The sequence below is a fragment of the Homo sapiens genome, chromosome 2, assembly GCF_000001405.40.
Source record: "Homo sapiens chromosome 2, GRCh38.p14 Primary Assembly".
In the NCBI taxonomy this organism is placed as follows: Eukaryota; Metazoa; Chordata; class Mammalia; order Primates; family Hominidae; genus Homo; species Homo sapiens.
The window spans coordinates 211,659,990-211,681,698 of NC_000002.12; the positions used below are offsets into that span (position 1 = coordinate 211,659,990).

Sequence of the window (21,709 nt, forward strand, 5' to 3'; positions counted from 1 at the left end):
GGGTGGCGGTGGCTTCTGCAGGAGCAAAAGCACAGACCTGAAGAAATGTATTGTATATACAAAACAACTACAAATAATTCTTAGTAGTTGGAGAGCAAAACATGAGGCAATAGGAAGAGGGGAAAAAAGAAGTTAGAACATTAGGTGGGAGCCAGATTTTGAGAAATATTTGCTTAGTAACAATCAATAAAAAATCACTGTAGGGCTTTAAAGAAGTAGTGAAGTTGCTAGATTAGTATTTTCAGTAAATCTCCTAGCTCTGTGGATACTAGTCAGCTGGCAGCCAGGCCGACTCATTTGGCACAAAGACTATTTTAGTCCACGTAAGAGATGATGGACCAAACTAGGGAAATGGTAACTGTGTTGGAGGCAGAAGAACAGATTCAAGAAATACCTCAAAAGATAGAGGGAATAAAAAAGAGCAGTTGATTCATGAAAGTGAAATGATCAAAGGAGTTAAAGAAGACTTACATTTCTAGCTTTGCTAATAGTGGTACTATCCTTGAGAGAATCCAAGAAGATGAATATGTTTCTTCCTGTATGTGTTAGGGGATGAGGAGTTGATAATTTCAGTTTTGTGTATCTAGAATTTAGTATGGCTGTCCTACATCTAGGTAGAAATGTTTATCAGCAGTTGGAAAGATGAGTGGTTAACGGGGAAAGAAGGCATGAGTATAATGATCAATCTTGAAATAGCATGTAGGAGAAAGTTGAAACCATGTAAGTGAATAGATGGCTAAAGAAGATATAAAAAGTAAGAAAAGCAGAGGCTGAAGATGGAAACCCAAGGAACCCCAACAGTATATGACATAAGATGAGTTCTTTGTGCCAGAAGCATGGGAAAATATAATTGAGTAAAACCAATTAACTGTAGTCTCATGGAAGTCAAATCAGAAAAGAACTTCAAGAAAGAGGCGGTGATCATCAGTGTGAAAGGCAGAGAAGTCTGGTAAAATAACTCTTAAGATAATTTTACTTGTCATTGTCATGGTCACTAGAATTTAGGTTTTTGTGAGTTGAGAAGCAAATTGGAGATAGAAAAATAGAGGCTGGGGAAAGAGCGGGGAGGGACTGAGGGAGCAGGATGTAGGGTCAAGAAAAGTTGTTGAGGGGATTGTGTAGGATATTTGAGATTCAAACCTATTTTTAAACTGAGAATGAAAGAAAAAAATGAAAGACAAAGAAAAATAAGAGTATGACTGAAGTGGCACCATTCTTTCTAAATACAAGCCGCTGAAAACTAAAATATGTATATTGTTTTTCAACTCTTTGTATTTTCTGTAAGCAACTAATTAGTATATGCAATTTGCATCCATTCAGCCAGATCACAGAACAACAGAAACACAAAACTTTTGAAGAGCCAAAATCACAAATAAATAACTGAATCAAAATCTAGAATAGTAGAATTATAAAAAAAAGTGTTTCAAAGTGGAATACTTATAGAAAATTAGAAAAATAAAACACATGTCTAATTAACAAATTCCAAAACAATATCTAAAGTTCTGAATATTAAACTGTGTTTAACCTTTGTTAGTACTAATGACTTATAAGTTCCTTGATGTACTCATTTAACCAACATAGTTTAGATATTTTGATAAAATCTTTAAATTTTGAAATAAAAATGAAGGAAATTTTTAAAAATTCTCCATTAAAAGATTATAGACAAAACTTCCACAAGCAGCCCTTCTTTCCCTCTCTTGATGTATAAAAATTATTTCATTATATCAGTTTAAGAATATTTTAAAAATGGATAAAAAGATTAAGGTACGGCCGGGCGCGGTGGCTCACGCCTGTAATCCCAGCACTTTGGGAGGCCGAGGCGGGCGGATCACGAGGTCAGGAGATCGAGACCATCCCGGCTAAAACGGTGAAACCCCGTCTCTACTAAAAATACAAAAAATTAGCCGGGCGTAGTGGCGGGCGCCTGTAGTCCCAGCTACTCGGGAGGCTGAGGCAGGAGAATGGCGTGAACCCGGGAGGCGGAGCTTGCAGTGAGCCGAGATCCCGCCACTGCACTCCAGCCTGGGCGACAGAGCGGGACTCCGTCTCAAAAAAAAAAAAAAAAAAAAAAAAAAAAAAAAAAAAAAAAAAAAGATTAAGGTACATGTGACATTTAATAATATAAAATCATTATTCTAATATCAACAAAAACATGCAATGAGATTTTTAAAAAGATGTTCCATAAAATAACCATTTCATTCCAAGTCTAAAATGCAGGTTTGGTTTGATACAAAACCAAAGTTAAACGGACATTAAATGAGCACATACTCAAGTGATATTAGTGAGGAAAAAAATCATCCTTGCCCTCCCCACAATTTAATTACATTGGTTAAGTTTACAAATCTTTAAAAAAATTCTATCTTGCTAATTTCAAATCTGAACATCATTCCTAAGTTTTAAATTCTTGCTTATCATTTCAAAATACTGTGGAGAAGGGTCTGGTCTCTAACAGAGGATATAAATTAAATAATATAAATTTACTGGACTGTGAGTTCATTGAGGTCAGAAGCTGTGTCTTGTTCATTTCTGAATTTTCCTATCACTGTATGTGATGCAGAGCAGATATCCAATATACAAAGCTGAAGAGTGAATAAACTAAGAAAAGGCTGTTAAAATAAAAATTATCTAGTCAAGGTAAGAAGAGACAAACTTGTTGTTTTCATGGATATTAGTGAGAATCTTCTGATAAGGAGTAAATAGATGACCTATTTTAAAAGTGTCTAGAGAGCTTGTTAGAGCCATTATATTTAATGTACTTTTAGAGTAGTAAAAGTGCTTTTAAAGTATGACACAGGTAACTTTATTTTCAGAAAAATCATTAAACAGTATTCAAAGTAAGAACTTTAATTCTAAAAAATGTGGTTTGAAAGACTATTTTCATTAATGTGGTTCTTGAATTATCTGACATCATATAGGCATATAAAAGAAAAGGTGTTTTCCAAAGTAGAACTGGCCTGGTGAGCTCACACTTACTGATAGGTCGATTATTACATGTGTTTAGGAATAAAAATAGTTACTTGCTCCATCATCCTCACTGCCCCTGTGGTTTTCCCAGGAAAATATCATATCTCTATATGCTCAATTTGGAAAGAAGGGACTGACTGCACAGAACACCTTATTGCTTCAGTAAAATATCTCAAAGCATAATGTTGAACTGCAATAGAATTTATATGAGGATTTAGGAATTTAGGAATCACATCCTTCAGGAATTCCTGGGACTAGAATACTCTGGGACTAGAACCACAGCATTTTTATGAAGTGAGTGAATCTGGACAATATGAAGGTGTTTTAAAAACAGGATGGCAGAAAGCTAAATGAAAACAGAGACAAAAATCCTTCAGGATTAAGTCAGTCATTAGAGAATGCATTTACCTTGGAAGATGCCAGGGAGTACAATATTCAAATTCTGTCTCAACTTAATTCTGCGGCTGCAAATTGCTAAAGGTGTCTTTTTTCTGTTCACTTGGAGTTCCCAAATGCTCTGGTGAGATTTCTTCCCCATTACACCTTCATCCTTCCTTTTGACTGAGATCCAGATTTTGTTGCTACCATAAACTAATCTCTTTTCATTGCCTCATATTTCTACTTCCCCCACTATATATGTTTATTATTATTATATAATAATGATTTAAAAGGGCAGAGAGGAAGACACACCAGCCATGCATCCAGACTATGGCTCTGTGATCTCACTTTCATTTCTCTAATGGCCTCATTGTAATTAGATTTGCAAAAACAGCAAAAGGTCTCATTTTGAATGGCAACAGCTGTTGACATCAACATTATATTGAATAATTTACTGGTTTAATTTTAGCTGCAAAACAATAAAATTCTCTTGTGGATGATTTTAGCAGGCAAAGTTTTCTCTTTCTGTTGCTGACTCTTTCTTCTGCTCCAGCAGAACCAGTTGTTTTTTTTTGTGAAATACTCTTAACTCAAGTATGCCAAAAACTCACAAGGGGAGCAGTTTATTACCTCTAGTTTCCTTGAAGCAAAGTGTCTATGTGACTATTTCAGTACCCTAAATGTATACGTGCTTATATGTGAACCAATGAATTGGCAATTACCACTTCCAAGGTGAATTTGAATTTGAATGGCAGAATATTACTTTACCTTTTGAGGATCTGTCACTTCACAGAGTGAGTTAAGCTTATTTCTTGACCTGCAGGAAATTGTAGCAACATCTGCAAATTGATGTTTTCTTGGCAGGAAATGATGTCGCTTGCTTAATTTCTTCAGTATCCCCCAACAGCTATCCCTTAATCTGACAGAAAATCTGTTTATGGAATCTCACACTTTCCTGCCAGATATAAAGTACCCAAGCTGATTCTCAACTACAAATGTGTGTGTGTGTGTGTGTGTGTGTGTGTCTGTATGCGTCTGTGTGTGTGTGTTTATATGTGTATGTGCACATGCCTATAGGCATTCACAATGGAGAAAAGGCTTTATGGGCAGTAGGAGGATGGCAAATGTAACACTGCTTTCAATTACAAATTATTCACCTTCCGGAGGAATGAAAAGGAAAAATCCTTACTAAAATAGACTTGTTGTCTCTTAAGAAATACTTGTTGGAATTTGTTAGATGAATGACATTATTTCTTTTACAGTTCAGTGCTTTTCTTCTTTCTGTAATGTGTCTTTGTTATTCAACTGTTATCAATATCAAAGGTAATCTAATTATTATTCATTGCACAATGTATTCTTTTGAAAAAGAGAAAAAAAATTTACCAAGCTTCAGATTGCCCTATATCAGTCAAAGAAATTCAAGGCTAAAGGATTACCTGTAACAAGGTTACTTTCACAAAATGTACTCATTTTTTAAATATACATATCACTAGGTTCCCTTTTTCCCTGCCATTGTTACCTTTGTTCATATTTTTTGAAGGAGTAATTTAAGGTAGTATTTATCAAAGAGAAATATCCTCACCTTAAGCTTATTGTGACAACAAAGAAACAGAAATAGAAAACTTCCTTTAAAGATTTGATAAACACAAACCTCAAAAGCATGATTACTGTCCTATCTTTTCTGAGATCTTGAATCTCCAATATAATTTCGAAGAATTTCTAAACTGCATCCAAAGTATACCTGACACTAGCTAGCTTCATGAAGGTGTTAATAGAATGGTTATAGGTAAAATCTAAGCAGAAATATTTAAGGGTGTACAAAGTTGATTCCATAAATCATTCTCTCAGTATTTCTCTTAAAATCAGCATTTTAAATATAAGGATTAGTAGAGTTCTATGAGAATGGTATACATTTCAGAGATGGTACCAGGGATAAAGATACATGTGGATAACACATACCAGGTGAGCCCTTGGCCAGCAAGAATGCTTACCCTTGGGTGCAGTTTGGATGGCATGGGTGGCACTCCCGATCTGGATCAGCATACTTGAAAATGAAACTGTTTGCCCCCTGTAAGCCATCTGGACATTTTTCCACACAGTTTGGGCCATCTTTAAAATGAGAGCACTTTGTACAGTTGTCAGGACCCTGAAATGTGAAAACGAAAAAAAAAGAAAAAAGAAAAGTGGTGTCATTTCCTCTGGAATGTATTCATGTGGTTTAGTTACTGAGACTTCAGTAGGTGGCAAATCTTCCTCTAAGAGAATTGGAGAACATTTTCAGCAGTGCAAATGTGGATGTAATTTTTGTAGTACAAACAGTGCAAAGAAGATCCATCAAGTTCAGTTTTGATATCCTGTATGTGTGAAAACACTATAATAATGTATTTGTGCTTGAAATATTTTCCTTTTCGACATAAGCAGTTCCTGGGCCAACTGATTTCCATGTCATGACTCTAATGTGACTTAATTTGATCAGCAAAACTGTCCAATGACTTTCTCAAAAGGATGTCAGTATTTTCTTCTTGTGATTTATTTCTGGCAATATTATAGTGCAGCAATTTTTAGTAAAACACATTTTCCCTAGAGGTATTTCATCACCACCACTGGGAATATGTGAATACTTTTACTAAATAGTTAATGAGAAAAGGGATATAATAGAAATTAACTAAAACTGAATTTCATATAAGAGTAGGATGTAAACTTTCCTTTGGTTGTACAATGACTTTATTTATAAAATGAATTTTAAAATTTGTTATGATAACATTATCAGGAATTAGGCCGTTTAGGTGAATAAAAATAATTCCTAGATTTTTCTTTATTTCATATCCACTGTGAAAACACTAAAAGTCATATTATGTCTATTTATAGGGATTTTAGTAAATCACAGAACAATACTGAAAGCCATATAAATGCACATTTTGATGAGCAAAATAGTCCATAATAATAAAGCAAATACATACAAACAAAGGCTTCATGAAGAAACTTATCCAAGGATGAAGATAATATAAATATGAGTATAATAAATGCAAATAGAACAAACTCATTCTATATATTTATGTTTATAATACACATTAACTTTCTAATATGTGGAATGTTAATAAGTGATAATGATATGAAAATATATCTAAAAGTCATGACAATATTAAGATGTTCAAACTAAAACATATATGAATTTTACAGAATACAAACTGATTTGGATCTGGTATAATGGATGGAAAGCATACTAGAAATGGGTATATCGTCAGAGCAAAGAAAATTTAGAACACTTTGGTAAATGCTATCTTTCTTAAAAGACTTCCCCGATGCTTTCATACATTCAGCTGTTCTGGACAACAGCTACCTGAAATGTACTTTTACATCTCCTTTTTGGACACCATATTGTCTTAAAATTCCTCTCCTCTTTGACCACTCCCCTTTGGAACTTCTTCCCCTGACCCATTTCTCCCTAAAATCTGGCTATGTCCATAGGGTTCAACAATCATTATAGTTCACATGGAAAACAACTTAAATAAATAAGATATAGTAAGCATACAGAGAGACAATTCTATCACATTTGTAGTTATAAACAATGAGAATTTGGCAGTCAGGAGTTAACACTAAGTTATAAAGAACTAGATATTAGGTAGGGATTGTAAAGATAATGGGAGTACCTTATATCCTAAACCAGGAGTGTCCAGTGTTTTGGCTTCCCTGGGTCACATTGGAAGAAGAATTGTCTTGGGCCACACATAAAATACACTAACACTAATGACACCTGATGAGCCAAAAAAAAAAAAATTGCAAAAAAACTCATAGTGTTTTAAGAAAGTTTACGAATTTGTGGTGGGCCACACTCAAAGCTGTCCTGGGTGCATGTGGCCAATGGGCTGCAGGTTGGGAAAGCTTGTCCTACACAAATGTTAATCCAAGAGCAGCTAGATATTACAAATTGGTTACTTAAGGCATCAGAAAATCGAGAAATACAATATTTTAAAATTTAAAAATGGAGGCGTGTGAATAGAAGTATAAAGAAGAAAAAGTAATCAGGAAGAGCTTTCAGGAAATCCTGAGACTGGTGGGGCTCAATCAAGCCCTTGTCTATTTCACTATTTTGCTGTGAGGCTCAGAGCTCGAAAAAAAAAAAAAAAGCCTATAAAACCTAATCCTGATTCTACCTGAGGAGTTTGCTAATGGTAACTTCTTATTTCTTCCCAAAAAAGAATACTTCACATCCTTCCAATTTTAACACCTGCTTATGGGTACTTAGGCACGTAATATTGTCTATTACACAGAATCATTTACTGTGCAAGTATGCTCAGTACCATGACTTATTGTACAAGACAAGAGACATGCTGATGTCTTCTTGCAGCACACAGAATAAAACCTACAATGAGTAAATTAGGCAGAGTCTGAATTAAGAATTAGGAATTATTCTTCTAAGTAATGTAAATGTATTTTTCTTATAATGTAAAATCATGTCTGGGTGAAGTCAAAAGATATAAAGTTGTAAAAGTAAAATCAAGTTCATATTTAATATTTAAGTATACTGTAATAAGATAAATAACTTTTTGTTCTTTGTTTTTTAAGCATCTCTTAACTATAGTCATGTGACACTTAATGACCGGGATATATTCTGAGCAATGCATCATTAGGTGATTTCATCATTGCGCAGATATCACATAGTGTACCTACACAAACCTGTATGGTGTAGCCTACTTTATACCTAGGCCATATGGTATAGCCTTTTGCTCCTGGACTACAAACTGCACAGCATATTACTGTACTGAATATTTTAGGCAGTAGTAATACAATAATAAGCATGTGTGTATCTAAACATATCTAAATGTAGAAAGGGTACAGTAAAGGCAGATATTATAATTTTATGGTAACACCATTGCATATGTCCATCACTAACTGAAATGTTGTTATGAAGTGCATGACTGTATTTGATTGTATTATCATGATAGAAAACCTAATGTCCCAGGCTGACATAACTAAAAATGTCCTGGCAAATCTCAGAAAAAGAAACATACTGATTCCCCATCTCATTTCCATAATAAAGAGACTTAAAGAAATATACCTGTGTCTAATGTTTACTCTTCTTTCATTATATTCCCAAAGGCTTTAAGAACCGAGGCACAATAAATGAATTGATCAGTGCAATAATAGAAAATGAAGGTCAAGGCAATATTCTTCCTTATCCCTATTTCTAAACTACCTCTGGAGTCAATAATCTAGACAGACAACTAAAGGATAGGCTGAATCCTTATAGAAGCATGACTTTTTTTTTTGAGTCGTCATTGATGTTTTTCTCTGGTAGCTACTGTAAAAGACATATTTATTATTCACCAGTGACCAATTATCTTCTATTCCAGTCACATGAGAACATTATAATTCTCCTCCCACCAGAGATAAGATATGGCTTAATTTGCACAATGGAATATAACTAGAGGTGACTATGAGATAACTAGTGCTTAAGTCTCCAGCCTTCTCTCTCTGGTGCCATGACTCACAGACCCCATGTAGAAGTGGAAGTGCCATAAATTAAAAGCATCCCTGAATGGTAGACCATAACAGGGAGGCTCGCTGCCTTAGAACATTTCCCAGATTTCCAGTGTACTTTACAAGATGGATGGGTGTGGTGGCTCACATCTTTAATCCCAGCACTTTGGGAGGCCTAGGTGGGCAGATCACTTGAGGCCAGCAGTTCAAGACCAACCTGGGCAACATGGTGAAACCCCATCTCTACAAAAAATATAAAAATTAGCCAGGCATGGTGACACATGTCTGTAAACCCAGCTACTCAGGAGGCTGAGGCATGAGACTCGTTTGTGCCCAGGAAGCAGAGGTTGCCGTGAGCTGAGATCACGCCACTGCACTACAGTCTGGGCGACAGAGTGAGTCTCAAAAAAAAAAAAAAAAAAAAAAGAAAAAAGAAAAAAGCAAAAAACAACTATGTACTTTACATGAAAAAAAAAGAACTTAAACTTATTTATGTAAGCTACTGCAATATGGAGGTTATTTGTTACAGCAGCACAACCTTTATTAACCTAAATTTAACAGTGTTTTCACTTTTATAGGAATGTATTTCAAAATCAGTTCCCTTACTATTTTTTCTCTTCTTTTGCTGCCTCTCTAGCCTAAGTTTTGGTCTCCTGAAACTGTCTGATTTCCCAGGCTTGTCTTTCTTCTCATATTTCCTCCTATACCTTTCTGGATAGGACTGCCTAAAAGTAATGAAAGTAAAGCAGAGTGAATAAAATTATAAAAAATTAAATAAAATATAGAAGACCAAGTGTGGACAGACAAGGACATAAGCGCAAAGGCCTTCTTTTATTTCCAATCTATCCCTTGCAAGATTACCGTAAATTTCTGTCATTTTTAAGTAGGATTATATTATCTCATTTTACTTATAGCTATCATAGTCCCTGAAAGCATTTTATCCCTATTGCACTGAAGACATTGTTTCCTGGGGGACAAAAAACTGAGATGTACGAGAAATTTACAGTCAGAACTTCTATAGTTGAGTCACAGTTTCATATCCTACTGACGTGCTGACTTTTGGAGTAACTTTCTAATCATTATTGGTTAACTTTCTTTATATTTTAAAGGGAGAAAGTGATAGCATGCTTCAGATGTAACAGTGTTTGGTAAACATAAGTATATATCAGTTTTTGTCATTGGGGAAATATTCATAGATCAAAAAATGTGATTTCAACAGAATATATCATAAGATCAGGAATGGGATTTCCAAATGGCTTTGATGACTTCTTCCTCAATTTCATCAAAACGCCAGTCTAATGGAGAAGCTTCCAGAACCTCTTGGATATCTTAAATGATAGATGACTGTTATCTGGCACACAAAACCATCTCTGACTCTAGTTGTGGTCATTAACATGTGGGCCCAGAAACAGGCAAAAACCTAATATGAATCATTAAGGGTTGAAAGAAACCAAACCATAGTGGGAGCAATGTTTGGGCCACTGGTTGAGCTCAGCCATGCCAGTTTTTCAGGCACCGTTACTGAAAGATGTCGTGTTCTTACCTGCTTAGCATTCAAAGATTACTGATTCTTTAACTATAAATAATTTTAAAAATCAACTTTTGGAGTTCTAAAAATGTATATTTTTATAACCATCTCAAGTTTTTTGAGGAACAATGAGTAAACAAACTGCAAAAACCCACAAATTAGGAGAAATTAATGAATGAGTTATTCACTAGCACAATTTTATGCAACAGGAGGCATCATGAAGAAGAGAAAAAGCATGGAACTGATAAGCACATTGAGACTGGATGGTAAAATTGTGATTCCAAAGGTCTCAATACTACAGAACAATTCATTTAAGTACATTGAGCAATTCATTTAACATCTCTGAGATTATTTCCTCATTGGAAAAATGGGAGTAATACCTACAAGACAATAAAATAAAATGTAGGTGCAAATACCTAGCACAGAACTAGCTCACAAAAGGCCCTCAGTAATGTATGTTAAATCATTAATATAAATATGATCCAAGATAATCAGATTAATTCTGACTTGATTCATAGGTAAAGTGGTCACTGAACTTTTTTCTCACCTGAAAACTAATAAAGGCATACTGAAGGGACAGTTGTTGAAGTCTCTCCTTAGTGAAGGTTAGACTTTGCTACAGATGGTAAGCGAACATCAAGTTTTCAGACATGGGATTTTTTTTATGAAATTAGAAAAAAATATGGTGTCTTACTATGCAACATTTAAGCAGATTAGTTTTTTGTCTATAGGATTAGGTGAACTAAAAGTATTAGTTCATAAATATATTTGATTTTTCTGAAAAGTCACAATTGCAAGAAAGGCCAAAATATTATTACTTGAATGTATTTTCATTATACAGTATACAATAGATGAAGAAAAGATAATGTGAAAAAATTAAAATATGCAAATAATGCAACTTCTTAATTTTTGAGAAATAATTTTGAATATTAATGTTTGAATTTTCTAATATTTAAAAACCTAACAATATGTATACTCATGAAGCCTGGCACAAACTAGGTACTAAATAATATTTGCTGAATAAATGAATAAGATGTTTCTTAAAGCCTTGCTCAAACTAAAAAGGTTAAGAGAAAGAAATAGGAAATTACATGTGTGAAGAAAAAAAACTAATCTAGAAAATTGTAATAAGATATTTATAGGAAATATCAGTGCAGTGGCACCTGTAGTGATTCACAAATGAAACATTAGGCAAGTTTTGGCAGTTGCTCATAATTTTTTGAAAAGTGTTTCTGTAAATCTATGTCTAATATATATTATGATTGGATCTAGAGGGCCTATGATGATTCCCAGCCTATTCAGATGAGAGGGCCAAATCCTTGATTATTTTAATTATACATTTTGAAAAGTTTCAGTCTCTCAGAAAGAGATTTTTTCATTCCATGATTAATAGTCAAGAAGTTACCTAAATATGTTCTTTTTTAAAGACTCATACAGATATCCCAACCTGCCTTAACAAGCCATTACAGAAATGCACTTCCCTGTGTTTCATGACATTCTTTACAGAATTCATATTTCTCACACTGTTAGTTAATTGTATTTTTCATGACTGTCCATAATGGAGAAAGAAAATAGCTGCAAATGCCCTTTGCATAGTTACTTGGAGATCATTACATATTAAATTGCCTTTTACACTTTGGTTCTTCACACCAAGCAACACCACTTCTTTTTCTCAGAGGTCTAATTTTCCAAGCTAATCATCCTTGTGGTCGTCCTCTGAACTGGCCAATTTTTCCACATCTTTCTTTAGATAAAGTTCCAGAGCAGCTCACTGGGGCCTAATGGAAGTCTGGAGGGCTCAATGATATATATATTTTTTCTAAGCTAATTAAGTGCTGAATAAGCATTCTGGTATAAAAATTAATACTATTTAAATTTTCAATGAAATTGTACAGAGCAATGTGAAGCTCTTGTCTACATTCAAATGTTGGTCTCAAATTATCCATTGAGAGAGGATTCAATAACACAGATAAACTGGAAATTTGTCTAAAGAAGGATGAAAATGATACTTAGGAATGAAAAATTTATACTGATCTCATTATTAAGAAAAACTCAAATGATGGAAACCAAAGAGAGGTCTAAAAAATAATTATAATTTTCTCTCTGAGGCTAACTTCAAACTATGTAAATGAGACCTCATCCATGAGAACTTTCCTAATCCTATAACCCCTCCTTGGATTCTCATAGCTCAATTCTTCCCTCTGCCATAGTATTTATTGCACTGCTTTAGATTTTAGTTTATGAGTACTTGTCTCCTTCTTTCCACTGTCTTTCACAGTGCCACAACAGTTAAAGGATTAAATGCATATAAAAATGTGTGATAGCTTTCCTCAAATACAACATGAACTTTTACATTTGCATATGTTTATATGTTTCTTCTTTCCAGATTATTCTTCAAAGCATAGCTCCAGCATCACTTCTCTATAGCCTATCTTGATGTCTCAATTTCCATCCCAAAGACAGAATTAGTTTTTCCTTCATTTGTGTTTCTATAACAATTTATAAATATTTTTATTATGTTAGTGATTATGCTTCAATCTAATTATTCTTTTCTATACTGTGCAATAGTCCAGGACTACTCTATATCTTATAATTCCATTTAACTATTTTATATTTTATCTGGAGAATAAATATGTATGACATCGACTTTTTAACTATTTTATCTCTACTACTAAACTTTAAGCCTCTTGTAGGCAGATAAACATGTTTCCCCATGGCATCCTGTAAGTAGCTATTGAATGGATGAATAAATGATAAAATAATAACAAACATTCATACATGATACTAAATAAGCCAACACACCACAGATGTCTTCAGGCTTACCGGTCCATGGCATGTGAGGAGGCCATCTTCCATCTTCTCACACTGGGGGTCACACTCCACACAGATGGAGCCATTCTCAAACTCCCGAAATTCACTGTGAAAACATCAGCCACATGAGGAGGTGTAAGCAAACAAGCGTCAACTTAACAAATGAAGTAACATCTGCTAAAAGTCCTATTGGCAGAGTAAATTCTAAAGTTTGTTTCTCTATGTGCCAGGAGCATCAGAAACATTAAGTTTTCCATTAGGAGAAAAGATAAACTGCAGCCAGATGGCTCTCCCTGTCCTCCATTGAGTTCAATGTTAGACTCATTCTGGAAACCTCTCTCCTGCAAGACATATTCCAGCAATCTCAAAAAAAAAAAAAGCTACAAAGTATAACTCTTCTGATGACACAGTAAAACCATTTTTACCTTTTTAAATAGGGCTGTGCCTGTTTTGTCTTTATATACAATTTTACTCTTGGAGAAGCTTTTATTTCTAAACTCTGAAAGAACTATTGTATTTTTCTTGTTGCTAAGTTACATGAATGTTCCCAATCCTTGTCCTTCAAATCCCAAGACTCTTCAATTTATTTTTGGTGAAATTTCAAAAACTACTTTGATTCCTCTTCTCCTTTTAAAATATCTGCCTTGGAGAATTAGAGAAAACATCTTTTTATGGTAGATTTCATTTTCTTATATTATTGATCTAATATCACAACATCTTTTTGTAGTCTAAATTCTTTTTGAAGTAATTCTATAGGTATACAATAAAAGACACAGTTTAATGGTAACATCCTAAAACTTTCTAATTGAAATCTCCTGGGATGGTGGTCATCCCTTCCTATATCCTTACATTTTTGTGGCTATTTGTATATTACATGTTATCAACTTATGAATTTTACAATCAATGTCTATGGCAAAATTATTATATCAATAATTAGATATCAGTCATCTATAATATGTTAAACCACCCCATCCCACTAAAATACAGGAGGATAAAGTACTGAGTACAGACAATTTAAAATGCCATTTACAAATCATTAATAAAATTTGACGATGTTTAGCTATTTTATTATTTTGTGCTTTTGTGTCCTGTGTTACTACTCCACACCAATAGCATTACAGAGATGGCAATTTTTGATTCATTAAGTGATACATTAAAATATATTTTTACCTAAAGTGAAGCATTCACTTTTTTCTCATTTGAATACTGTAAAGCCTTAATAAATGAAAGAAGTACAATGATGAGCTATCTTTTCTGCCGGTTAGTTTAAGACTACATCTATTCCAAGGCAAAATAATTAAGTTTGGTTTTCCAAATGAATAGCATAAATAGATGGCTTAATTATGTATGAAATGCACATATATTGAGTTACATGGATTATGCATTTTATAAAGTGAGATAGCAGTTTGTTATGGATCAAACCTTTTATAAATTTTCTTAATTTTAAAATCACAATTACATAAAGACAGGTGATCTTTTGCATGCTTCACTGACATAAAGCATACAAAGTACTCAACAAAGGAAACCTTCAGAATATAAAAGTCCAAATGAATTGGTATGGGAGGGTAGTAAAATTATAAAAATAATCAAAAGCATTGTTTGCATAACAAAATTATGACAATTATAGCACACTTGAGATTATCCACTGGTTTTGGATAATAGTTTCTTGGGTGATTAAAAGTTTATGGTACTAAATGAGGGTTGTAGTTTTCATATTACTAGAACAAAGGTCACGTTTTTCTTATTCTTCTTCTCCAAAACCCACTTCCCCACACGCAGAGTTGAGGAATAAAATGTATGTCATAAAACAATCATGGAGATGGCCTATTGCCCTTTTCTTCCATAGATTTCCATTTGACAGGCTTCTGATTTTTCCTGCTCTCAGAAAAGATCCTCCTGGCAATCTCTATTACTTCTTCTGCCCTTTATTGTGACTTTCTCCATAATTTCTCTTTTTCTTTCCTGTCCTCTAGTGATTCTATTGTGACTTTGCCAGAGTCACCCTTTCACTTGAATCAGATTTAACAATTTATAGTCTATTAAGTATGAGCTTTGGATAGGGAGCTTTGTTCCCTTGGTTTTGCTATGAAACATTTCTCACAGTTTTGTTGTATGTGTTAACTTAGCAAGTCCTGTGATCAAGAGTGAATACTCTGGGATCTAGTTTTTCCAAATCTAAACCCCAGGACTGACACTACTATTTCTAGGCCTTAAATACTTCAACTTCCTTAAGCCTCATTTTTTAAAATATCCTCTGTAAAAGGAAAAAATAAGATTTCATTGAGAAGCTGCAATTATAAAATGTAAAAAGACTTAGAAGGAGCTTAGTCTGGTTCCCTCTTTGATGTTTCTGTGTTGTTCTTAAACTTTCACAAGAGTTTAAGCATGTTGACAGATATGGGAAGTTCTAAAGTTCCATTGCAGTTACCTATCTTTTTCATTTTTATTGCTTGAGCATTGTAGTTAAGAGTTGTTGAAATACAGTGATTTATATGACATGGATTTGAATGCTAATCAGCCAGTAATTGACTGATTTTCATTTTTCCCTTCAAAAAGTCCTCTTTTTAGGATTTCTTCTCTTCTGGAGCCACATTTTTTAACATATATATATTTAATATAATATATATATAAAATATAATATTATATATATATATATATAACAAATAGGCTCCCTGGATTTTGGTAAATGTCATATTTATATTTGATTACTTTCAGTAGTTTCAAAAATGGCCATTCTATTTAACCATTTAATCAACTCAGATAAATAGACGAAAAAGAAAATAATGATAACATTTATGGTAGAAACTCCAACAAGATCTTACGCATTTTCTCATTTGATAATCACAACTGTCCTATAAAGTTAACACCACTATTATTCCCAATTTTCACATAAGAAAACCAATTTAGAATGATGAGATCGTTTGCCCAAGTTTGGATGTTTCAACTAGGAAGCAATGAAGTTGGGATATAAACTGGTTCTTCCTCAAAGGCTATCATAACCATCAGCCAATGTTGAAAGAAACTAGCCCATACCACAAGATGGAAGGTGGGCAATCCATCACTGGGCAGGCAAGAATTGCACCAGTCTTTTACAAGATACGTAAGTTGATCATCTTTCAAACTAGCCCCATGCTTATGGTTTCCTGGGGTGCCATAATTACTGCAAAATACATTAAAAACTAAGTTAATTTAACAGATTTGATTTTATAATGTAAATATGAAATATGCTAAATATAAAAAACAGTGTGGTAATCAGTGTTTCCTCAGGAAACCTGTATTTTTCTTTTGGTTAGCTTTCATTGTTTTTGTAGAAATGAGATAGAAACTGGTGTATACATACACATGTTTATAAATTTCATATTTCTGAAAAGCTAAAAACTGTAATATTAAATAAAAACAATGGTGTTCTGGGAAAAAAACAAACAAACAAAAAATCAAGATGAAAAATCAGATACCTTACGTTCTAGCATTGGCTTGAGTCCTATATAGTGTTGCGAGTTCAGCCCATACTTAATTAAACCAGTTCCCTATATTTATAAGATGCTGCTATTACACAAAATGATTTCTATAATTTCCTCTTTAGTATTGCACATATATATTCAATAAACTTTTAATGTAATATTCACTTAATGAAATTAGTCTATTGTGTTTCATTTTAATTTATTAGTCTATTGTGTTTTGTTTCATTTATCAATTGCTGAATGCAAAAGCAAGCATATTTTGATCTGAGGTATTTTATGTTCATAATATTGGGAACAAGCATAAATATGATTCAATGAGACAAGCAGCAAATAATTTCCAATTCATTTCCAAATTACAAGCCAAAGTTACCTCACAAAATTAAATGCTAAAATTTTCCTGAAAAATGATTAAATTCTTATTTAAAATTTTTTATACTTATGCTTCTAATATTAATATTTTCCCTTATATTTTATGGATGGAATTGGTTTTGGACATCTTGCAAAGAAGAGACATGTCAATATCATTATGATCTATATATTTTTATTTTTCTCGTGTAAAATGCAAAATTCCAATGTTATTTATTGGATCCAGTGGGATAATTCATGAGGCACATGAGGAAATGAAAGAACTTCAAAACTATACTTTCCAAAACTATTGAAAATACTTTCAGGCCGGGTGCAGTGGCTCATACCTGTAATCCCAGCACTTTGGGAGGCCGAGGCAGGCAGATCACCTGAGGTCAGGAGTTCGAGACTAGCCTGACCAACATGGAGAAACCCTGTCTCTACTAAAAATACAAAATTAGCCCGGCATGGTGGCGGGCACCTGTAATCCCAGCTACTTGGAGGCTGAGGCACGAGAATTGCTTGAACCTGGGAGGTGGAGGTTGTGGTGAGCTGAGATCAGGCCATTGCACTCCAGCCTGGGCAACAGGAGCAAAACTTAGACTCAAAAAAAATAAATTAAAAAAAAAAAAAGAGGCCAGGCGCAGTGGCTTACGCCTGTAATCCCAGCACTTTGGGAGGCTGAGGCAGGTGGATCACGAGGTCAGGAGATCGAGACCATCCTGGCTAACACAGTGAAACCCCGTCTCTACCAAAAATACAAAAAATTAGCCGGGCGTGGTGGCGGGCGCCTGTAGTCCCAGCTACTCGGGAGGCTGAGGCAGGAGAATGGCATGAACCTGGGTGGTGGAGCTTGCAGTGAGTCGAGATCGCACCACTGCGCTCTAGCCAGGCAACAGAGCCAGACTCCGTTTCAAAATAAAAATAAAAGTAAAAATAAAAATAAAAATAAAGAAAGAAAATACTTTCAGTGAGCAACATAAGAAAATTTGACTTAGGAGCAGTACTAAAAATACATTATAACATTGATGAAGGACAAGAATGATGCATCAAATAGTATGTTATGATAAAGTGATTTTATGAATATATGAAATATTATGCAACCAGGTACTTACTAGCTTCTACTACTGGTAATGTTATTATTGAAATACCAGATAAAATTAAAAATACTTAATTTAAAATACTGCTTAGATTATCTAAAACCTGGCAGAACACTTTCAAAACCACTTCAAATAGAAACTACAGTGGTAGTTTTTCTATTGGGCTAAGCACTTGTCAAAGACAGAAACAAGCCATTCCTATATACAAATAGACATAAAAGTGAGTAGAAAAAACAAACAAACAAAAAAAAACAAACAAACAAAAAAAAAAAAACAAGAAAACTTGCACTCCAGATGAAATTTATAGAGAAGTATGAGAGGAAAATAAAAAATATTATTGGGATACATGGAGAGGAAGATTACTTATAACAATCCCCTTCATAAAGAAAACTGGAATATATTTCTCAATTTTGCTTAACTGTAAATTGCTATAATAAGAATTGTCTGAGTATGTTTTTAAAAATGCATACAATAGTAAACTATGTATTTGAACTCATAATTTCAAATAAAATTATTTTTCCTTAAAAGAATTCGTCTATGTGTTGTCTCCTTTATGCAACAAGAGCTCTCCTTAAAAATCCTGGCCTGCATTTTACCATTTTCTTATAATTTTAAAAATCAGAGCTAGGCCAGGTGCAGTGGCTCACGCCTGTAATCCCAGCACTTTGGGAGGCCAAGGCAGGCGGATCACTAGGTTAGGAGTTCGAGACCATCCTGGCTAACACGGTGAAACCCCGTCTCTACTAAAAAATACAAAAAATTAGCCGGGCATGGTGGCGGGCGCCTGTAATCCCAGCTACTTGGGAGGCCAAGGCAGGAGAATGGCGTGAACCCAGGAGGCGGAGCTTGCAGTGAGCCGAGATCGTGCCGCTGCACTCCAGCCAGGGCGACAGAGCGAGACTCCGTCTCAAAAAAAAAAAAAAAAAAAAAAAAATCAGAACTAATCAGTCCTTCAAAGCTCATGAGGTGAAGGCAACCCTAGAAGAAGCCTTACCCATCATAGAGGTTACAAGACTCTATGCAGATCCTTCCTCTACTGAAGCGGCGACACGACAGACATTGGTCTGGCCCAGGTCCCCAACAGCCATCACTGGAACACAGATGGTTGCACACCATTCCTTCAGCAGCTGTGAAACACCAAAATCAAGGGGAAATAAAACAGAGGATTGTGTCAAAACTTAAAATCTTCCTAGGTAATGCTATTTCTAAAGGAGTTCACTTAAAAGAGATATATGGCAAATGACTTTGGTGGCCTATCCCATCGTCATGTCCCATCCTACCCACAACTTCTTCTATATTGCAGAGTCCTAGTAGCTGTGTTTGTACAGCAATCTTGCATTTTTCATAAGGTTAAACAAAAGTGAATTGCCTATATAAAAACTATTGGGAGGACAGGTGATATAAATTATCTGTCCAAGCTAAAGAATAAACCACACTTCTCTCAAGCCAATGCTTTGCTCCACTAATAAATAAAATATTTTGGCTTCTCAGTTTGAGAGCTTCATGAAGAAATAGAAAACAATATTGTCCTGAAACAAAAAAAGTATTAAAAGAGGAAGAGAAAGAAAAAGAATAATTTATAGAGGGTAAGAAGGGGAGAAAGGAATAGAAATAAAACACAAGTTTTCTCGTTTGTTTTTTTGAGACAGTCTTGCTTTGTCACCCAGATCCAAGTGCAGTGGCATGATCTTGGCTCACTGCAACCTCCACCTCCCGGGTTTAAGCAATTCTCCTGCCTCAGCCTCCTGAGTAGCTGGGATTACAGGCTCACACTACCACGCCCAGATAATTTTTGTATTTTTAGTAGAAACAGGGTTTCACCATGTTGGCCAGGCTGGTCTTAAACTCCTGACCTCAAGTGATCCACTCACCTCAGCCTCCCAAAGTGCTGGGATTACAGTCGTGAGGCACTGCGCCAACCAAAATATAAGTTTTCTACAGGACCCTGCTGTATTCTGGCTAGGTCTACCTTGCTATTAGTCAAGTCATCACATGTAAGGAAGAAGTTTTGAAAGAATATTCAGCAAATTACAGTGATTATTTATGCAGAAGTGTAGAGATTAAAGCAGTAACAATAGTCTTTAGTGTTATCTCTATGTTATCTCTATTTTTTGTTGTTGTTGATGGCAGAAGGGCCAAATAATTTTTAAATTTCCACTTAAGGCTAACCATCTTTGTTTCCCTTTATACTGAATATCTTTTATTCAGGATATTATTATTTATACTGCATGACATTATTTTAGTGACGGGAGATTTGATATTGATAAGAAGAGCCATAAATACTTCAAATGTTATCCTGAGTGTCTGAAAGTGATTTGAGGTATTTGAAACACAACTTCATGTGGTTTTCATGAAATAATAATTCTAAAGAAGATTAAAACATCAAAATCAACTTTATCTTTCCATTAGTTACCAACTTTACTTATTATGAGATGTAAAATTTTATGGCAAGAACATTTGCGAGGTGGGTTGGGATGGCACTGAATATGGTAGTGTAATATAAGCAGGGAAGTCTATCTGTGAAATCTGTGAAAGTTAACTTCTCTAACATATGCTTGACAGAGCAAATCGCCCACACCTGTGATCCTGACTAGTTCTGAAACAGCGAAACAAATATTCCAATTCATATTTTCTTTGTTCTATATCCTGGGGTTATTAAAAAGGCCCCTATGGTAAACTGTGTAAAAATTTTTTAAAGCAGACTTAGATCTATCAACAAATCTTGCTACTTCTTGAATAATCTCTTTCAGCATAGTTTAAGAGAGAAATGTGTGTGTATCTGTGTCTGTGTGCAGCAGTTTTATTGAAGTATACATAGCATACAATATACTGCTCATACATAAAGTATACCATTTGATAAGTGCTGACATCATGAACCACATCTACAATCAAGATAATTAATGTATTCATTATCTCCAAATGATTCCTCATGACCTTATGTAATCCTTGCCTCCTGCACCATCCTCCTTAGACAATTATTGGTCTGCTTTCTGTTACTCACTGTACATTAGTTTGCATTTTCTATAATTTTTAATAAATGAAATTATACAGTATATTTTCTGTTTTTATATAGTTTCTTTCATTTATATAATTATGTTGAGTTTCATCTATGTTACTGCATGTATCAATAGTTTATTCACTTTTATTACTGAGTATATTCTATTGTATGGATATATGAAATTTATAATCCATTCACCTATTGACAGACATTTAGACTGTTCCATTTTGGATGTTAAAAATAGTAGTAGTAGATTACTATGAATATATGTGTAAAAGTCTTTGTATGGGCATACACTTTCTTGTCCTTTAGATAAATACCCAGGAGAGGAGTGGCTGGACAATATGGTAGGTATATGATTAACTTTTTAAGAAACTGTCAAATTGTTTTTCAAAGTAGTTGTACCATTTTACATTCCTACCATCAATGAACACAACTCAAAATTTAGTTTCCCTACATCTTCACCAACACTGATGTGGTCAGTTTGTTCAATTTCAAACTATCTAATTTGAATGTAGTAGTTCCTGATTGTGGTTTTGATTCACATTTTCCTAATGATTAAAAATGTTGAATATCTTTTAATGTGTTTATTTTTACATATCTCGTTTGGTCAAGTGCCACCAAATCTTTTGCCCATTTTAAA

General features: G+C 34.2%; 1 protein-coding gene across 11 annotated transcripts in view; it reads right to left on the reverse strand.

Moving 5' to 3' along the window:
• The window catches only part of ERBB4 (erb-b2 receptor tyrosine kinase 4), a 1,163,086-nt gene that overhangs the window by 284,273 nt on the left and 857,104 nt on the right, over positions 1 to 21,709 (reverse strand). For all 11 annotated transcript variants that reach the window (NM_001042599.2, NM_005235.3, NM_001439006.1 and 8 more), the window contains 3 exons: positions 19,063 to 19,195; positions 13,175 to 13,268; positions 5,334 to 5,488 (listed from right to left, as the gene is read on the reverse strand). In NM_001042599.2, the coding sequence (NP_001036064.1) occupies positions 5,334 to 5,488; positions 13,175 to 13,268; positions 19,063 to 19,195 (382 nt within the window). The remainder of the gene's footprint in view (positions 1 to 5,333; positions 5,489 to 13,174; positions 13,269 to 19,062; positions 19,196 to 21,709) is intronic.